The following is a 15097-nucleotide window of genomic DNA, read 5'->3' as shown; positions in this document are numbered from 1 at the left end:
ACGGAACGGAACGGAATTGAATGGAGTGGAATCAACCCGAGTGGAAAGGAATGGAATGGAATGGAATGGAATGGAATAACATGCAATCAACTTTGGTGGAATGGTATGGAATGGAATGGAATGGAATAAAAGGGCATGGAATGGAACAGAATCAACCCGAAAGGAATGGAACGGAATGAAGTGGAATGGTATAGAATGGAATGGATTGGAAAGGAATCAACCCGAAGGGTATGGAATGGAATGGAATGGAATGGAATGGAATGGAATGGAATCAACCCCAGTGGAATGCAATGGAATGGAATGGAATGGAATGGAATGGAACGGAACGGAACGGAAAGGAATTGAATGGAATGGAATCAACCCAAGATAAAAGGAACGGAATGGAATGGAATGGTATGGAATGGAATGAAATGGAATAGCATGCAATCAACTTTGGTGGAAAGGTATGGAATGGAATGGAATGGAATGGAATGGAATGGAATGGAATGGAATGGAATAAAAGGGCATGGAATGGAATGGAATCAACACGAGAGGAATGGAAAGGAATGGAATGGAAATGAATCAAACCGAGTGGAATGGAATGGAATGGAATGGAATGGAATGGAATGGAATGGAAACAATGCAATGCAATGGTATCAACTGGAATGGAATGAATTAGAATGGAAAGGAAAGGAATCACCATGAGTGGAATGGAATGGAAAGGAATGGAATGGAAACTAATGGAACGGAATGGAAACAACCCGAGTGGAATGGAATGAAATGGAATGGAATGGAATGGGATGGAATGGAATGGAATACAACAAAATGGAAACAAACCGAGTGGAATGGCATGGAATGGAAAGGATTTGAATATAATGGAATGGATTGGAATCAACCCGATTAGAAACTAATGGAATGGAATGGAATGGAATGGAATGGAATGGAATGGAATGGAATGGAATGGAATCTACCCGAGTGGAATGGAATGGAATGGAATTTACTGGAATGGAATGGAATAGAATGGTATGGAATCAACCCGAGTGGAATGGTATAGAATGGAATGTAATGAAACGGAATGGAATGGAATAAAATGGAATGGAATGGAATGGAAACAACCCGAGTGGAATGGAATGGAATAACCGGAGAGGAATGGAATGGAATGGAGTGGAATGGAATGGAATGGAATGGAATGGAATGGAATGGAATCAACCCGAGTGGAATGGAATGGAATGGAATAGAATGGAATGGAATAGAATGGAATGGAATGGAATCAACCCGAGTGGAATGGAATGGAATGGAATGCAATGGAATGGAATGGCATGGAATCAACCCTAGTGGAATGGTATGGAATGGAATTGAACGGACCGGAATGGAATGGAATCAACCCGAATGGAATGGAATGGAATGGAGTGGAATGGTATGGAATGGAATGGAATGGAAAGGAATCAACGCGAAGGGAATGGAATGGAATGGAATGGAATGGAATGGAATGGAATGGAATGGAATGAAATCAACCCGAGTGGAATGCAATGGAATGAAATGGAATGGAATGGAATGGAATGGAACGGAACAGAATGGAATGGAATGGAATCAACCCGAGTGGAAAGGAATGGAATGGAATGGAATTGAATGAAATGGAATGGAATGGAATGGAATAACATGCAATCAACTTTGGTGGAATGGTATGGAATGGAATGGAATAGAATGGAATGGAATGGAATAAAGGGGGATGGAATAGAACGGAATCAACCCGAATAGAATGGAGCGGAATGGAGTGGAATGATATGGAATGGAATGGAATGGAAAGGAATGGAATCAACCCGAGTGGAATGCAATGGAATGAAATGGAAGGGAATGGAACGGAACGGAACGGAACGGAATGGAATTGAATGGAATGGAAACAACCCGAGTGGAAAGGAATGGAATGGAATGGAATGGAATGGAATGGAATGGAATGGAATGGAATGGAATGGAATGGAAAGGAATGGAATGGAATGGAATGGAACATGCAATCAACTTTGGTGGAATGGTATGGAATGGAATGGATTGGAATGGAATAAAAGGGCATGGAATGGAACGGAATCAAACAGAATGGAATGGAGCGGAATGGAGTGGAATGGTATGGAATGGAATGGAATGCAAACGAATCAAACCGAAGGGTATGGAATGGAATTGAATGGAATGCAAAGGAATGGAATCAACCCTAGTGGAATGCAATGGAATGAAACGCAATGGAATGGAACGGAAAGGAACGGAACGGAATGGAACGGAATTGAATGGAGTGGAATCAACCCGAGCGGAAAGGAATGGAATGGAATGGAATGGAATAACATGCAATCAACTTTTTGGAATGGTATGGAATGGAATGGAATGGAATAAAAGGGCATGGAATGGAACAGAATCAACCCGAATGGAATGGAACGGAATGAAGTGGAATGGTATAGAATGGAATGGAATGGAAAGGAATCAACCCGAAGGGAATGGAATGGAATGGAATGGAATGGAATGGAATGGAATGGAATGGAATGGAATGGAATCAACCCCAGTGGAATGCAATGGAATGGAATGGAATGGAACGGAACGGAACGGAATGGAACGGAATTGAATGGAATGGAATCAACCCAAGAGGAAAGGAACGGAATGGAATGGAATGGAATGGAATGGAATGGAATGGAATGGAATGGAATGGAATAGCATGCAATCAACTTTGGTGGAAAGGTATGGAATGGAATGGAATGGAATGGAATGGAATGGAATGGAATGGAATGGAATGGAATGGAATCAACCCCAGTGGAATGCAATGGAATGGAATGGAATGGAATGGAACGGAACGGAACGGAACGGAACGGAACGGAATGGAATGGAATGGAATGGAATAGCATGCAATCAACTTTGGTGGAAAGGTATGGAATGGAATGGAATGGAATGGAATGGAATGGAATGGAATGGAATGGAATGGAATAAAAGGGCATGGAATGGAATGGAATCAACACGAGAGGAATGGAAAGGAATGGAATGGAAATGAATCAAACCGAGTGGAATGGAATGGAATGGAATGGAATGGAATGGAATGGAAACAATGCAATGCAATGGTATCAACTGGAATGGAATGAATTAGAATGGAAAGGAAAGGAATCACCATGAGTGGAATGGAATGGAAAGGAATGGAATGGAAACTAATGGAACGGAATGGAAACAACCCGAGTGGAATGGAATGAAATGGAATGGAATGGAATGGGATGGAATGGAATGGAATACAACAAAATGGAAACAAACCGAGTGGAATGGCATGGAATGGAAAGGATTTGAATATAATGGAATGGATTGGAATCAACCCGATTAGAAACTAATGGAATGGAATGGAATGGAATGGAATGGAATGGAATGGAATGGAATGGAATCTACCCGAGTGGAATGGAATGGAATGGAATTTACTGGAATGGAATGGAATAGAATGGTATGGAATCAACCCGAGTGGAATGGTATAGAATGGAATGTAATGAAACGGAATGGAATGGAATAAAATGGAATGGAATGGAATGGAAACAACCCGAGTGGAATGGAATGGAATAACCGGAGAGGAATGGAATGGAATGGAGTGGAATGGAATGGAATGGAATGGAATGGAATGGAATGGAATGGAATCAACCCGAGTGGAATGGAATGGAATGGAATAGAATGGAATGGAATGGAATGGAATGGAATGGAATCAACCCGAGTGGAATGGAATGGAATGGAATGCAATGGAATGGAATGGCATGGAATCAACCCTAGTGGAATGGTATGGAATGGAATGGAACGGACCGGAATGGAATGGAATCAACCCGAATGGAATGGAATGGAATGGAGTGGAATGGTATGGAATGGAATGGAATGGAAAGGAATCAACGTGAAGGGAATGGAATGGAATGGAATGGAATGGAATGGAATGGAATGGAATGGAATGAAATCAACCCGAGTGGAATGCAATGGAATGAAATGGAATGGAATGGAATGGAATGGAACGGAACAGAATGGAATGGAATGGAATCAACCCGAGTGGAAAGGAATGGAATGGAATAGAATTGAATGAAATGGAATGGAATGGAATGGAATAACATGCAATCAACTTTGGTGGAATGGTATGGAATGGAATGGAATAGAATGGAATGGAATGGAATAAAGGGGGATGGAATAGAACGGAATCAACCCGAATAGAATGGAGCGGAATGGAGTGGAATGATATGGAATGGAATGGAATGGAAAGGAATGGAATCAACCCGAGTGGAATGCAATGGAATGAAATGGAAGGGAATGGAACGGAACGGAACGGAATGGAATTGAATGGAATGGAAACAACCCGAGTGGAAAGGAATGGAATGGAATGGAATGGAATGGAATGGAATGGAATGGAATGGAATGGAATGGAATGGAATGGAAAGGAATGGAATGGAATGGAATGGAACATGCAATCAACTTTGGTGGAATGGTATGGAATGGAATGGATTGGAATGGAATAAAAGGGCATGGAATGGAACGGAATCAAACAGAATGGAATGGAGCGGAATGGAGTGGAATGGTATGGAATGGAATGGAATGGAAAGGAATCAAACCGAAGGGTATGGAATGGAATTGAATGGAATGCAAAGGAATGGAATCAACCCTAGTGGAATGCAATGGAATGAAACGCAATGGAATGGAACGGAAAGAAACGGAACGGAATGGAACGGAATTGAATGGAGTGGAATCAACCCGAGTGGAAAGGAATGGAATGGAATGGAATGGAATAACATGCAATCAACTTTTTGGAATGGTATGGAATGGAATGGAATGGAATAAAAGGGCATGGAATGGAACAGAATCAACCCGAATGGAATGGAACGGAATGAAGTGGAATGGTATAGAATGGAATGGAATGGAAAGGAATCAACCCGAAGGGTATGGAATGGAATGGAATGGAATGGAATGGAATGGAATGGAATGGAACGGAATGGAATCAACCCCAGTGGAATGCAATGGAATGGAATGGAATGGAACGGAACGGAACGGAATGGAACGGAATTGAATGGAATGGAATCAACCCAAGAGGAAAGGAACGGAATGGAATGGAATGGAATGGAATGGAATGGAATGGAATGGAATAGCATGCAATCAACTTTGGTGGAAAGATATGGAATGGAATGGAATGGAATGGAATGGAATGGAATGGAATGGAATGGAATCAACCCCAGTGGAATGCAATGGAATGGAATGGAATGGAATGGAATGGAATGGAATGGAATGGAATCAACCCCAGTGGAATGCAATGGAATGGAATGGAATGGAATGGAACGGAACGGAACGGAACAGAACGGAATGGAATGGAATGGAATGGAATGGAATGGAATAGCATGCAATCAACTTTGGTGTAAAGGTATGGAATGGAATGGAATGGAATGGAATGGAATGGAATGGAATGGAATGGAATGGAATAAAAGGGCATGGAATGGAATGGAATCAACACGAGAGGAATGGAAAGGAATGGAATGGAAATGAATCAAACCGAGTGGAATGGAATGGAATGGAATGGAATGGAATGGAATGGAATGGAATGGAAACAATGCAATGCAATGGTATCAACTGGAATGGAATGAATTAGAATGGAAAGGAAAGGAATCACCATGAGTGGAATGGAATGGAAAGGAATGGAATGGAAACTAATGGAACGGAATGGAAACAACCCGAGTGGAATGGAATGAAATGGAATGGAATGGAATGGGATGGAATGGAATGGAATACAACAAAATGGAAACAAACCGAGTGGAATGGCATGGAATGGAAAGGATTTGAATATAATGGAATGGATTGGAATCAACCCGATTAGAAACTAATGGAATGGAATGGAATGGAATGGAATGGAATGGAATGGAATGGAATCTACCCGAGTGGAATGGAATGGAATGGAATTTACTGGAATGGAATGGAATAGAATGGTATGGAATCAACCCAAGTGGAATGGTATAGAATGGAATGTAATGAAACGGAATGGAATGGAATAAAATGGAATGGAATGGAATGGAAACAACCCGAGTGGAATGGAATGGAATAACCGGAGAGGAGTGGAATGGAATGGAGTGGAATGGAATGGAATGGAATGGAATGGAATGGAATGGAATGGAATGGAATCAACCCGAGTGGAATGGAATGGAATGGAATGGAATGGAATGGAATGGAAAGGAATGGAATCAACCCGAGTGGAATGCAATGGAATGAAATGGAATGGAATGGAATGGAACGGAACGGAACGGAACGGAATTGAATGGAATGGAATCAACCCGAGTGGAATGGAATGGAATGGAATGGAATGGAATGGAATGGAATGGAATGGAATGGAATGGAAAGGAATGGAATGGAATGGAATGGAATAACATACAATCAACTTTGGTGGAATGGTATGGAATGGAATGGAATGGAATGGAACAAAAGGGCATGGAATGGAACAGAATCAACCCGAATGGAATGGAACGGAATGGAGTGGAATGGTATGGAATGGAATGGAATGGGAAGGAATCAACCCGAAGGGTATGGAATGGAATGGAATGGAATGGAATGGAATGGAATGGAATGGAATGGAATGGAATGGAATGGAATAAACCTGAGTGGAATGCAATGGAAAGAAATGGAATGGAACAGAATGGAATGGAATGGAATGGAACGGAACGGAACGGAATGGAATTGAATGGAATGGAATCAACCCAAGTGGAATGGAATGGAATGGAATGGAATGGAGTGGAATGGAATGGAATGGAATAGAATGGAATGGAATAGCATGCAATCAACTTTGTAGGAATGGTATGGAATGGAATGGAATGGAATGGAATGGAATGGAATGGAATGGAATGGAATGGAATAAAAGGGCATGGAATGGAATGGAATCAACCCGAGACGAATGGAATGGAATGGAATGGAATGGAATGGAATGGAATTGAATGGAATGGAAATGAATCAAACCGAGTGGAATGTAATGGAATGGAATAGAAAGGAATGGAATGGAAACAATGCAATGCAATGGTATCAGCTGGAATGGAATGCATTGGAATGGAAAGGAATTGAATCACCCTGAGTGGAAAGGAATGGAATGGAATGGAATGGAATGGAATACAATAAAATGGAAACAACCCGAGTGGAATGGCATGGAATGGAAAGGACTTGAATATAATGGAATGGATTGGAATCACCCGATTAGAAACTAATGGAATGGAATGGAATGGAATGGAATGGAATGGAATGGAATGGAATGGAATGGAATCTACCCAAGTGGAATGGAATGGAATGGAATTTAATGGAATGGAATGGAACGGAATGGAATGGAATGGAATGGAATGGAATGGAATGGAATGGAACAGAATGGTATGGAATCAACCCGAGTGGAATGGTATAGAATGTAATGTAATGGAATGGAACGGAATAAAATGGAATGGAATGGAATGGAAACAACCCGAGTGGAATGGAATGGAATGGAATGGAATAACCGGAGAGGAATGGAATGGAATGGAGTGGAATGGAATGGAATAGAATGGAATGGAATGGAATGGATTAGAATGAAATGGAAAGGAATGGAATGGAAACAAACCGAGTGGAATGGAATGGTATGGAATGGAATGGAATAATATGCAATCAACTTTGGTGGAATGGTATGGAATGGAATGGAATGGAATGGAATGGAATGGAATGGAATGGAATGAAAGGGCATGGAATGGAATGGAATCAACCAGAATGGAATGGAGCGGAATGGAGTGGAATGATATGGAATGACATGGAATGGAAGGGAATCAACCCGAAGGGTATGGAATGGAATGGAATGGAATGGAACGGAACGGAACGGAATTGAATGGAATGGAATCAACCCGAGTGGAAAAGGAATGGAAGGGAATGGAATGGAATGGAATAGAATGGAATGGAATAACATGCAATCAACTTTGGTGGAATGGTATGGAATGGAATGGAACGGAATGGAATGGAATGGAATGGAATAAAAGTGCAAGGAATGGAACGGAATCAACCCGAATAGAATAGAAGGGAATGGAGTGGTATGGTATGGAATGGAATGGAATGGAAAGGAATCAACTCGAAGGGAATGGAATGGAATGGAATGGAATGGAATGGAATGGAATGGAATGGAATGGAATCATCCCGAGTGGAATGCAATGGAATGAAATGGAATGGAATGGAACGGAACAGAGAGGAACGGAACGGAATTGAATTGAATGGAATGAACCCGAGTGGAAAGGAATGGAATGGAATGGAATGGAATGGAATGGAATGGAATGCAGTGGAATGGAATAACATGCAGTCAACTTTGGTGGAATGGTATGGAATGGAATGGAATGGAATGGAATAAAAGGGCATGGAATGGAACAGAGTCAACCCGAATGGAATGGAACAGAATGGAGTGGAATGGTATGGAATGTAATGAAATGGAAAGGAATCAACCCGAAGGGTATGGAATGGAATGGAATGCAATGGAATGGAATGGAATGGAATGGAATGGAATGGAATGGAATGGAATGGAATGGAAAGGAATGGAATCAACCCGAGTGGAATACAATGGAATGAAATGGAATGGAATGGAAAGGAATGGAACGGAATTGAAAGGAATGGAATCAACCCGAGTGGAATGGAATGGAATGGAATGGAATGGAATGGAATGGAATGGAATGGAATGGAATGGAATAACATGCAATCAACTTTGGTAGAATGGTATGGAATGGAATGGAATGGAATGGAATGGAATGGAATGGAATTGAATAGAATGGAATAAAAGGGCATGGAATGGAACCAAATCAACCCGAATGGAATGGAACGGAATGGAGTGGATTGGTATGGAATGGAATGGAATGGAAAGGAATCAATCCGAAGGGAATGAAATGGAATGGAATGGAATGGAATGGAATGGAATGGAATGGAATGGAATGGAATGGAATCAACCCGAGTGGAATGCAATGGAATGAAATGTAATGAAATGGAATGGCACGGAACGGGACAGAACGGAACGGAATTGAATGGAATGGAATCAACCCAAGTGGAAAGGAATGGAACGGAATGGAATGGAATAGCATGCAATCAAATTTGGTGGAATGGTATGGAATGGAATGGAATGGAATGGAATGGAATGGAATGGAATGGAATGGAAATGAATCAAATCAAGTGGAATGGAATGGAATGGAATTTAATGGAATGGAATGGAAACAATGCAATTCAATGGTATCAACTGGAATGGAATGCATTGGAATGGAATGGAATGGAATCAACCCGAGTCGAATGGAATGGAATGGAATGCAATGAAATGGAATGGTATGGAATCAACCCTAGTGGAATGGTATGGAATGGAATGGAACGGAACGGAATGGAATGTAATCAACCCGAATGGAATGGAATGGAGTGGAATGGTATGGAATAGAATGGAATGGAAAGGAATCAACCCGAAGGGTATGGAATGGAATGGAATGGAATGGAATGGAATGGAATGGTATGGAATCAACCCGAGTGGAATGCAATGGAATGAAATGCAATGCAATGGAACGGAATGGAACGGAATGGAATGGAACGGAATTGAATGTAATGGAATCAACCCGAGTGGAAAGGAATGGAATGGAATGGAATTGAATGGAATGAAATGGAATGGAATGGAATAACATGCAATCAACTTTGGTGGAATGGTATGGAATGGAATGGAATGGAATGGAATGGAATGGAATGGAATGGAATGGAATGGAATAAAAGGGCATGGAATGGAACGGAATCAACCCGAATGGAATGGAGCGGAATGGAGTGGAATGATATTTAATGGAATGGAAAGGAATCAACCCGAACGGTATGGAATTGAATGGAATGGAATGGAATGGAAAGGAATGGAATGAACTCGAGTGGAATGCAATGGAATGAAATGGAATGGAATGGAATGGAATGGAACGGAACAGAACGGAATTGAATAGAATGGAATCAACTCGAGTGGAATGGAATGGAATGGAATGGAATGGAATGGAATGGAATGGAATGGAATAACATGCAATCAACTTCGGTGGAATGGTATGGAATGGAATGGAATGGAATGGAATGGAATGGAATGGAATGGAATAACATGCAATCAACTTTGGTGGAATGGTATGGAATGGAATGGAATGGAATGGAATGGAATAAAAGGGCATGGAATGGAACAGAATCAACCCGAATGGAATGGAACGGAATGGAGTGGAATTGTATGGAATGGAATGGAATGGAAACGAATCAACCCGAAGTGTATGGAATGGAATGGAATGGAATGGAATGGAATCAACCCGAGTGGAAAACAATGGAATGAAATGGAATGGAATGGAATGGAATGGAACGGAACGGAACGGAATTGAATGGAATGGAATCAACCCAAGTGGAAAGGAATGGAATGGAATGGAATGGAATGGAATGGAATGGAATGGAATGGAATGGAATAGAATGGAATGCTATGGAATGGAATAGCATGCAATCAACTTTGGTGGAATGGTGTGGAATGGAATGGAATGGAATGGAATGGAATGGAATGGAATGGAATGGAATAAAGGGGCGTGGAATGGAATGGAATCAACCCGAGAGGAATGAAATGGAATGGAATGGAATGGCAATGAATAAAACGGAGTGGAATGGAATGGAATGGAATGGAATGGAATGGATTGGAATGGAATGGAAACAACGCAATGCAATGGTATCAACTGGAATGGAATGCATTGGAATGGAATGGAATGGAATCACCCTGAGTGGAAAGGAATAGAATGGAATGGAATGGAAAGGAATGGAATGGAATGGAAACTAATGGAAAGGAATGGAAACAACCCGAGTGGAATGGAATACAATGGAATGGAATGCAATGGAATGGAATGGAATGCAATGGAATGGAATGCAATGGAATGGAATGGAATGGAATGGAATGGAATGGAATGGAATACAACAAAATGGAAACAACCCGAGTGGAATGGCATGGAATGGAAAGGACTTGAATATAATGGAATGGATTGGAATCAACCCGATTAGAAACTAATGGAATGGAATGGAATGGAATGGAATCTACCCGAGTGGAATGGAATGGAATGGAATTTAATGGAATGGAATGGAATGGAATGGAATGGAATGGAATGGAATGGAATGGAATGCAGTGGAACGGAATGGAATGGAATATAATGGAATCTACCCGAGTGGAATGGAATGGAATGGAATTTATTGGAGTGGAATGGAATAGATTGGTATGGAATCAACCTGAGTGGAATGGTATAGAACGGAATGTAATGGAACGGAATGGAATGGAATAAAATGGAATCGAATGGAATGGAAACAACCCGAGTGGAATGGAATGCAATGGAATGGAATAACCGGAGAGGAATGGAATGGAATGGAGTGGAATCGAATGGAATAGAATGGAATGGAATGGAATGGAATGGAATGAAATGGAAAGGAATGCAATGGAAACAACCCGAGTGGAATGGAATGGAATGGAATGGAATGGAATGGAATGGAATGGCACGGAAACAATGCAATGCAATGGTATCAACTGGAATGGAATGCATTGGAATGGAATGGAATGGAATCACCCTGAGTGGAAAGGAATGGAATGGAATGGAATGGAAACGAATGGAATGGAATGGAAACTAATGGAACGGAATGGAAACAACCCGAGTGGAATGGAATGCAATGGAATGGAATGGAAAGGAATGGAATGGAATGGAATGGAATGGAATGGAATGGAATGGAATGGAATGGAATACAACAAAAGGGAAACAACCCGAGTGGAATGGCATGGAATGGAAAGGACTTGAATAGAATGGAATGGATTGGAATCAACCCGATTAGAAACTAACGAAATGGAATGGAATGGAATCTACCCGAGTGGAATGGAATGGAATGGAATGGAACATGCAATCAACTTTGGTGGAATGGTATGGAATGGAATGGATTGGAATGGAATAAAAGGGCATGGAATGGAACGGAATCAAACAGAATGGAATGGAGCGGAATGGAGTGGAATGGTATGGAATGGAATGGAATGGAAAGGAATCAAACCGAAGGGTATGGAATGGAATTGAATGGAATGCAAAGGAATGGAATCAACCCTAGTGGAATGCAATGGAATGAAACGCAATGGAATGGAACGGAAAGAAACGGAACGGAATGGAACGGAATTGAATGGAGTGGAATCAACCCGAGTGGAAAGGAATGGAATGGAATGGAATGGAATAACATGCAATCAACTTTTTGGAATGGTATGGAATGGAATGGAATGGAATAAAAGGGCATGGAATGGAACAGAATCAACCCGAATGGAATGGAACGGAATGAAGTGGAATGGTATAGAATGGAATGGAATGGAAAGGAATCAACCCGAAGGGTATGGAATGGAATGGAATGGAATGGAATGGAATGGAATGGAATGGAACGGAATGGAATCAACCCCAGTGGAATGCAATGGAATGGAATGGAATGGAATGGAACGGAACGGAATGGAATGGAATGCAATGGAATGGAATCTACCTGAGTGGAATGGAATGGAATGGAATAAAATGGAATGGAATGGAATGGAAACAACTCGAGTGGAATGGAATGGAATGGAATGGAATAACCAGAGAGGAATGGAATGGAATGGAGTGGAATGGAATGAAATAGAATGGAATGGAATGGAATGGAATGGAATGGAATGGAATGGAATGGAATAGAATGAAATGGAAAGGAATGGAATGGAAACAACCCGAGTGGAATGGAATGGAATGGAATGGAATGGAATGGAATGGAATGGAATGGAATAAAAGGGCATGGAATGGAACGGAATCAACCCGAATGGAATGGAGCGGAATGGAGTGGAATGGCATGGAATGGAATGGAATGGAAAGGAATCAACCTGAAGGGTATGGAATGGAATGGAATGGAATGGAATGGAATGGAATGGAATGGAATCAACCCGAGTGGAATGCAATGGAATGAAATGGAATGGAATGGAACGGAACGGAACGGAATTGAATGGAATGGAATCAACCCGAGTGGAAAGGAATGGAATGGAATGGAATGGAATAACATGCAATCAATTTTGGTGGAATGGTATGGAATGGAATGGAGTGGAAAGGAATGGAATAAAAGGGCATGGAATGGAATGGAATCAACACAAATGGAATGGAGCGGAATAGAGTGGAATGGTATGGAATGGAATGGAATGGAAAGGAATCAACCCGAAGGGTATGGAATGGAATGGAATGGAATGGAATGGAATGGAATGGAATGGAATGGAATGGAAAGGAATGGAATCAACCCGAGTGGAATGCAATGGAATGAAATGGAATGGAATGGAATGGAACGGAACGGAACGGAACGGAATTGAATGGAATGGAATCAACCCGAGTGGAATGGAATGGAATGGAATGGAATGGAATGGAATGGAATGGAATGGAAAGGAATGGAATGGAATGGAATGGAATAACATACAATCAACTTTGGTGGAATGGTATGGAATGGAATGGAATGGAATGGAACAAAAGGGCATGGAATGGAACAGAATCAACCCGAATGGAATGGAACGGAATGGAGTGGAATGGTATGGAATGGAATGGAATGGGAAGGAATCAACCCGAAGGGTATGGAATGGAATGGAATGGAATGGAATGGAATGGAATGGAATGGAATAAACCTGAGTGGAATGCAATGGAATGAAATGGAATGGAACAGAATGGAATGGAATGGAACGGAACGGAACGGAATGGAATTGAATGGAATGGAATCAACCCAAGTGGAATGGAATGGAATGGAATGGAATGGAATGGAATGGAATGGAATGGAATGGAATGGAGTGGAATGGAATGGAATGGAATAGAATGGAATGGAATAGCATGCAATCAACTGTGTTGGAATGGTATGGAATGGAATGGAATGGAATGGAATGGAATGGAATGGAGTGGAATGGGATGGAATAAAAGGGCATGGAATGGAATGGAATGGAATCAACCCGAGACGAATGGAATGGAATGGAATTGAATGGAATGGAAATGAATCAAACCGAGTGGAATGTAATGTAATGGAATAGAAAGGAATGGAATGGAAACAATGCAATGCAATGGTATCAGCTGGAATGGAATGCATTGGAATGGAATGGAATTGAATCACCCTGAGTGGAAAGGAATGGAATGGAATGGAATGGAATGGAATGGAATGGAATGGAATCGAAAGGAATGGAATGGAATGGAAACTAATGGAACGGAATGGAAACAACCAGAGTGGAATGGAATGCAATGGAATGGAATGGAATGGAATGGAATGGAATGGAATGGAATGGAATGGAATGGAATGGAATACAACAAAATGGAAACAACCCGAGTGGAATGGCATGGAATGGAAAGGACTTGAATATCATGGAATGGATTGGAATCACCCGATTAGAAACTAATAGAATGGAATGGAATGGAATGGAATGGAATGGAATGGAATGGAATGGAATGGAATACAACAAAATGGAAACAACCCGAGTGGAATGGCATGGAATGGAAAGGACTTGAATATAATGGAATGGATTGGAATCACCCGATTAGAAACTAATGGAATGGAATGGAATGGAATGGAATGGAATGGAATGGAATGGAATGGAATAAACCTGAGTGGAATGCAATGGAAAGAAATGGAATGGAACAGAATGGAATGGAATGGAATGGAACGGAACGGAACGGAATGGAATTGAATGGAATGGAATCAACCCAAGTGGAATGGAATGGAATGGAATGGAATGGAGTGGAATGGAATGGAATGGAATAGAATGGAATGGAATAGCATGCAATCAACTTTGTAGGAATGGTATGGAATGGAATGGAATGGAATGGAATGGAATGGAATGGAATGGAATGGAATAAAAGGGCATGGAATGGAATGGAATCAACCCGAGACGAATGGAATGGAATGGAATGGAATGGAATGGAATTGAATGGAATGGAAATGAATCAAACCGAGTGGAATGTAATGGAATGGAATAGAAAGGAATGGAATGGAAACAATGCAATGCAATGGTATCAGCTGGAATGGAATGCATTGGAATGGAAAGGAATTGAATCACCCTGAGTGGAAAGGAATGGTATGGAATGGAATGGAATAACATGCAATCAAC

The 15097-nt window shown here is 41.3% G+C and overlaps 16 annotated features.

The window, feature by feature from the left end:
- Positions 35–607: an enhancer, noted in NCBI's record as "OCT4-NANOG hESC enhancer chr4:49144785-49145357 (GRCh37/hg19 assembly coordinates)". NCBI's record gives its function as "activates a minimal SCP1, AML or CMV promoter by ChIP-STARR-seq in naive H9 embryonic stem cells {active_cell/tissue: H9 hESC(naive)}" and the evidence as "EXISTENCE:reporter gene assay evidence [ECO:0000049][PMID:30033119]".
- Positions 1182–1755: an enhancer, noted in NCBI's record as "OCT4-NANOG-H3K27ac hESC enhancer chr4:49143637-49144210 (GRCh37/hg19 assembly coordinates)". NCBI's record gives its function as "activates a minimal SCP1, AML or CMV promoter by ChIP-STARR-seq in primed H9 embryonic stem cells {active_cell/tissue: H9 hESC(primed)}" and the evidence as "EXISTENCE:reporter gene assay evidence [ECO:0000049][PMID:30033119]".
- Positions 1756–2329: an enhancer, noted in NCBI's record as "OCT4-NANOG-H3K27ac hESC enhancer chr4:49143063-49143636 (GRCh37/hg19 assembly coordinates)". NCBI's record gives its function as "activates a minimal SCP1, AML or CMV promoter by ChIP-STARR-seq in primed H9 embryonic stem cells {active_cell/tissue: H9 hESC(primed)}" and the evidence as "EXISTENCE:reporter gene assay evidence [ECO:0000049][PMID:30033119]".
- Positions 2330–2903: an enhancer, noted in NCBI's record as "OCT4-NANOG-H3K27ac-H3K4me1 hESC enhancer chr4:49142489-49143062 (GRCh37/hg19 assembly coordinates)". NCBI's record gives its function as "activates a minimal SCP1, AML or CMV promoter by ChIP-STARR-seq in primed H9 embryonic stem cells {active_cell/tissue: H9 hESC(primed)}" and the evidence as "EXISTENCE:reporter gene assay evidence [ECO:0000049][PMID:30033119]".
- Positions 3478–4051: an enhancer, noted in NCBI's record as "OCT4-NANOG-H3K27ac-H3K4me1 hESC enhancer chr4:49141341-49141914 (GRCh37/hg19 assembly coordinates)". NCBI's record gives its function as "activates a minimal SCP1, AML or CMV promoter by ChIP-STARR-seq in naive H9 embryonic stem cells {active_cell/tissue: H9 hESC(naive)}" and the evidence as "EXISTENCE:reporter gene assay evidence [ECO:0000049][PMID:30033119]".
- Positions 4052–4626: an enhancer, noted in NCBI's record as "OCT4-NANOG-H3K27ac-H3K4me1 hESC enhancer chr4:49140766-49141340 (GRCh37/hg19 assembly coordinates)". NCBI's record gives its function as "activates a minimal SCP1, AML or CMV promoter by ChIP-STARR-seq in naive H9 embryonic stem cells {active_cell/tissue: H9 hESC(naive)}" and the evidence as "EXISTENCE:reporter gene assay evidence [ECO:0000049][PMID:30033119]".
- Positions 4687–5382: an enhancer, noted in NCBI's record as "OCT4-NANOG-H3K27ac-H3K4me1 hESC enhancer chr4:49140010-49140705 (GRCh37/hg19 assembly coordinates)". NCBI's record gives its function as "activates a minimal SCP1, AML or CMV promoter by ChIP-STARR-seq in naive H9 embryonic stem cells {active_cell/tissue: H9 hESC(naive)}" and the evidence as "EXISTENCE:reporter gene assay evidence [ECO:0000049][PMID:30033119]".
- Positions 5383–6079: an enhancer, noted in NCBI's record as "OCT4-NANOG-H3K27ac-H3K4me1 hESC enhancer chr4:49139313-49140009 (GRCh37/hg19 assembly coordinates)". NCBI's record gives its function as "activates a minimal SCP1, AML or CMV promoter by ChIP-STARR-seq in naive H9 embryonic stem cells {active_cell/tissue: H9 hESC(naive)}" and the evidence as "EXISTENCE:reporter gene assay evidence [ECO:0000049][PMID:30033119]".
- Positions 7474–8169: an enhancer, noted in NCBI's record as "OCT4-NANOG-H3K27ac-H3K4me1 hESC enhancer chr4:49137223-49137918 (GRCh37/hg19 assembly coordinates)". NCBI's record gives its function as "activates a minimal SCP1, AML or CMV promoter by ChIP-STARR-seq in primed H9 embryonic stem cells {active_cell/tissue: H9 hESC(primed)}" and the evidence as "EXISTENCE:reporter gene assay evidence [ECO:0000049][PMID:30033119]".
- Positions 8170–8867: an enhancer, noted in NCBI's record as "OCT4-NANOG-H3K27ac-H3K4me1 hESC enhancer chr4:49136525-49137222 (GRCh37/hg19 assembly coordinates)". NCBI's record gives its function as "activates a minimal SCP1, AML or CMV promoter by ChIP-STARR-seq in primed H9 embryonic stem cells {active_cell/tissue: H9 hESC(primed)}" and the evidence as "EXISTENCE:reporter gene assay evidence [ECO:0000049][PMID:30033119]".
- Positions 8868–9563: an enhancer, noted in NCBI's record as "OCT4-NANOG-H3K27ac-H3K4me1 hESC enhancer chr4:49135829-49136524 (GRCh37/hg19 assembly coordinates)". NCBI's record gives its function as "activates a minimal SCP1, AML or CMV promoter by ChIP-STARR-seq in naive and primed H9 embryonic stem cells {active_cell/tissue: H9 hESC(naive and primed)}" and the evidence as "EXISTENCE:reporter gene assay evidence [ECO:0000049][PMID:30033119]".
- Positions 9564–10261: an enhancer, noted in NCBI's record as "OCT4-NANOG hESC enhancer chr4:49135131-49135828 (GRCh37/hg19 assembly coordinates)". NCBI's record gives its function as "activates a minimal SCP1, AML or CMV promoter by ChIP-STARR-seq in naive and primed H9 embryonic stem cells {active_cell/tissue: H9 hESC(naive and primed)}" and the evidence as "EXISTENCE:reporter gene assay evidence [ECO:0000049][PMID:30033119]".
- Positions 10262–10957: an enhancer, noted in NCBI's record as "OCT4-NANOG hESC enhancer chr4:49134435-49135130 (GRCh37/hg19 assembly coordinates)". NCBI's record gives its function as "activates a minimal SCP1, AML or CMV promoter by ChIP-STARR-seq in naive H9 embryonic stem cells {active_cell/tissue: H9 hESC(naive)}" and the evidence as "EXISTENCE:reporter gene assay evidence [ECO:0000049][PMID:30033119]".
- Positions 10958–11655: an enhancer, noted in NCBI's record as "OCT4-NANOG hESC enhancer chr4:49133737-49134434 (GRCh37/hg19 assembly coordinates)". NCBI's record gives its function as "activates a minimal SCP1, AML or CMV promoter by ChIP-STARR-seq in naive H9 embryonic stem cells {active_cell/tissue: H9 hESC(naive)}" and the evidence as "EXISTENCE:reporter gene assay evidence [ECO:0000049][PMID:30033119]".
- Positions 12352–13049: an enhancer, noted in NCBI's record as "OCT4-NANOG-H3K27ac-H3K4me1 hESC enhancer chr4:49132343-49133040 (GRCh37/hg19 assembly coordinates)". NCBI's record gives its function as "activates a minimal SCP1, AML or CMV promoter by ChIP-STARR-seq in naive H9 embryonic stem cells {active_cell/tissue: H9 hESC(naive)}" and the evidence as "EXISTENCE:reporter gene assay evidence [ECO:0000049][PMID:30033119]".
- Positions 13050–13745: an enhancer, noted in NCBI's record as "OCT4-NANOG-H3K27ac-H3K4me1 hESC enhancer chr4:49131647-49132342 (GRCh37/hg19 assembly coordinates)". NCBI's record gives its function as "activates a minimal SCP1, AML or CMV promoter by ChIP-STARR-seq in naive H9 embryonic stem cells {active_cell/tissue: H9 hESC(naive)}" and the evidence as "EXISTENCE:reporter gene assay evidence [ECO:0000049][PMID:30033119]".

The sequence above is a fragment of the Homo sapiens genome, chromosome 4, assembly GCF_000001405.40.
Source record: "Homo sapiens chromosome 4, GRCh38.p14 Primary Assembly".
Lineage (NCBI taxonomy): Eukaryota > Metazoa > Chordata > Mammalia > Primates > Hominidae > Homo > Homo sapiens.
The sequence above is the reverse complement of the archived record's forward strand: the minus strand, read 5'-3'. Positions and strand labels throughout refer to the sequence as shown.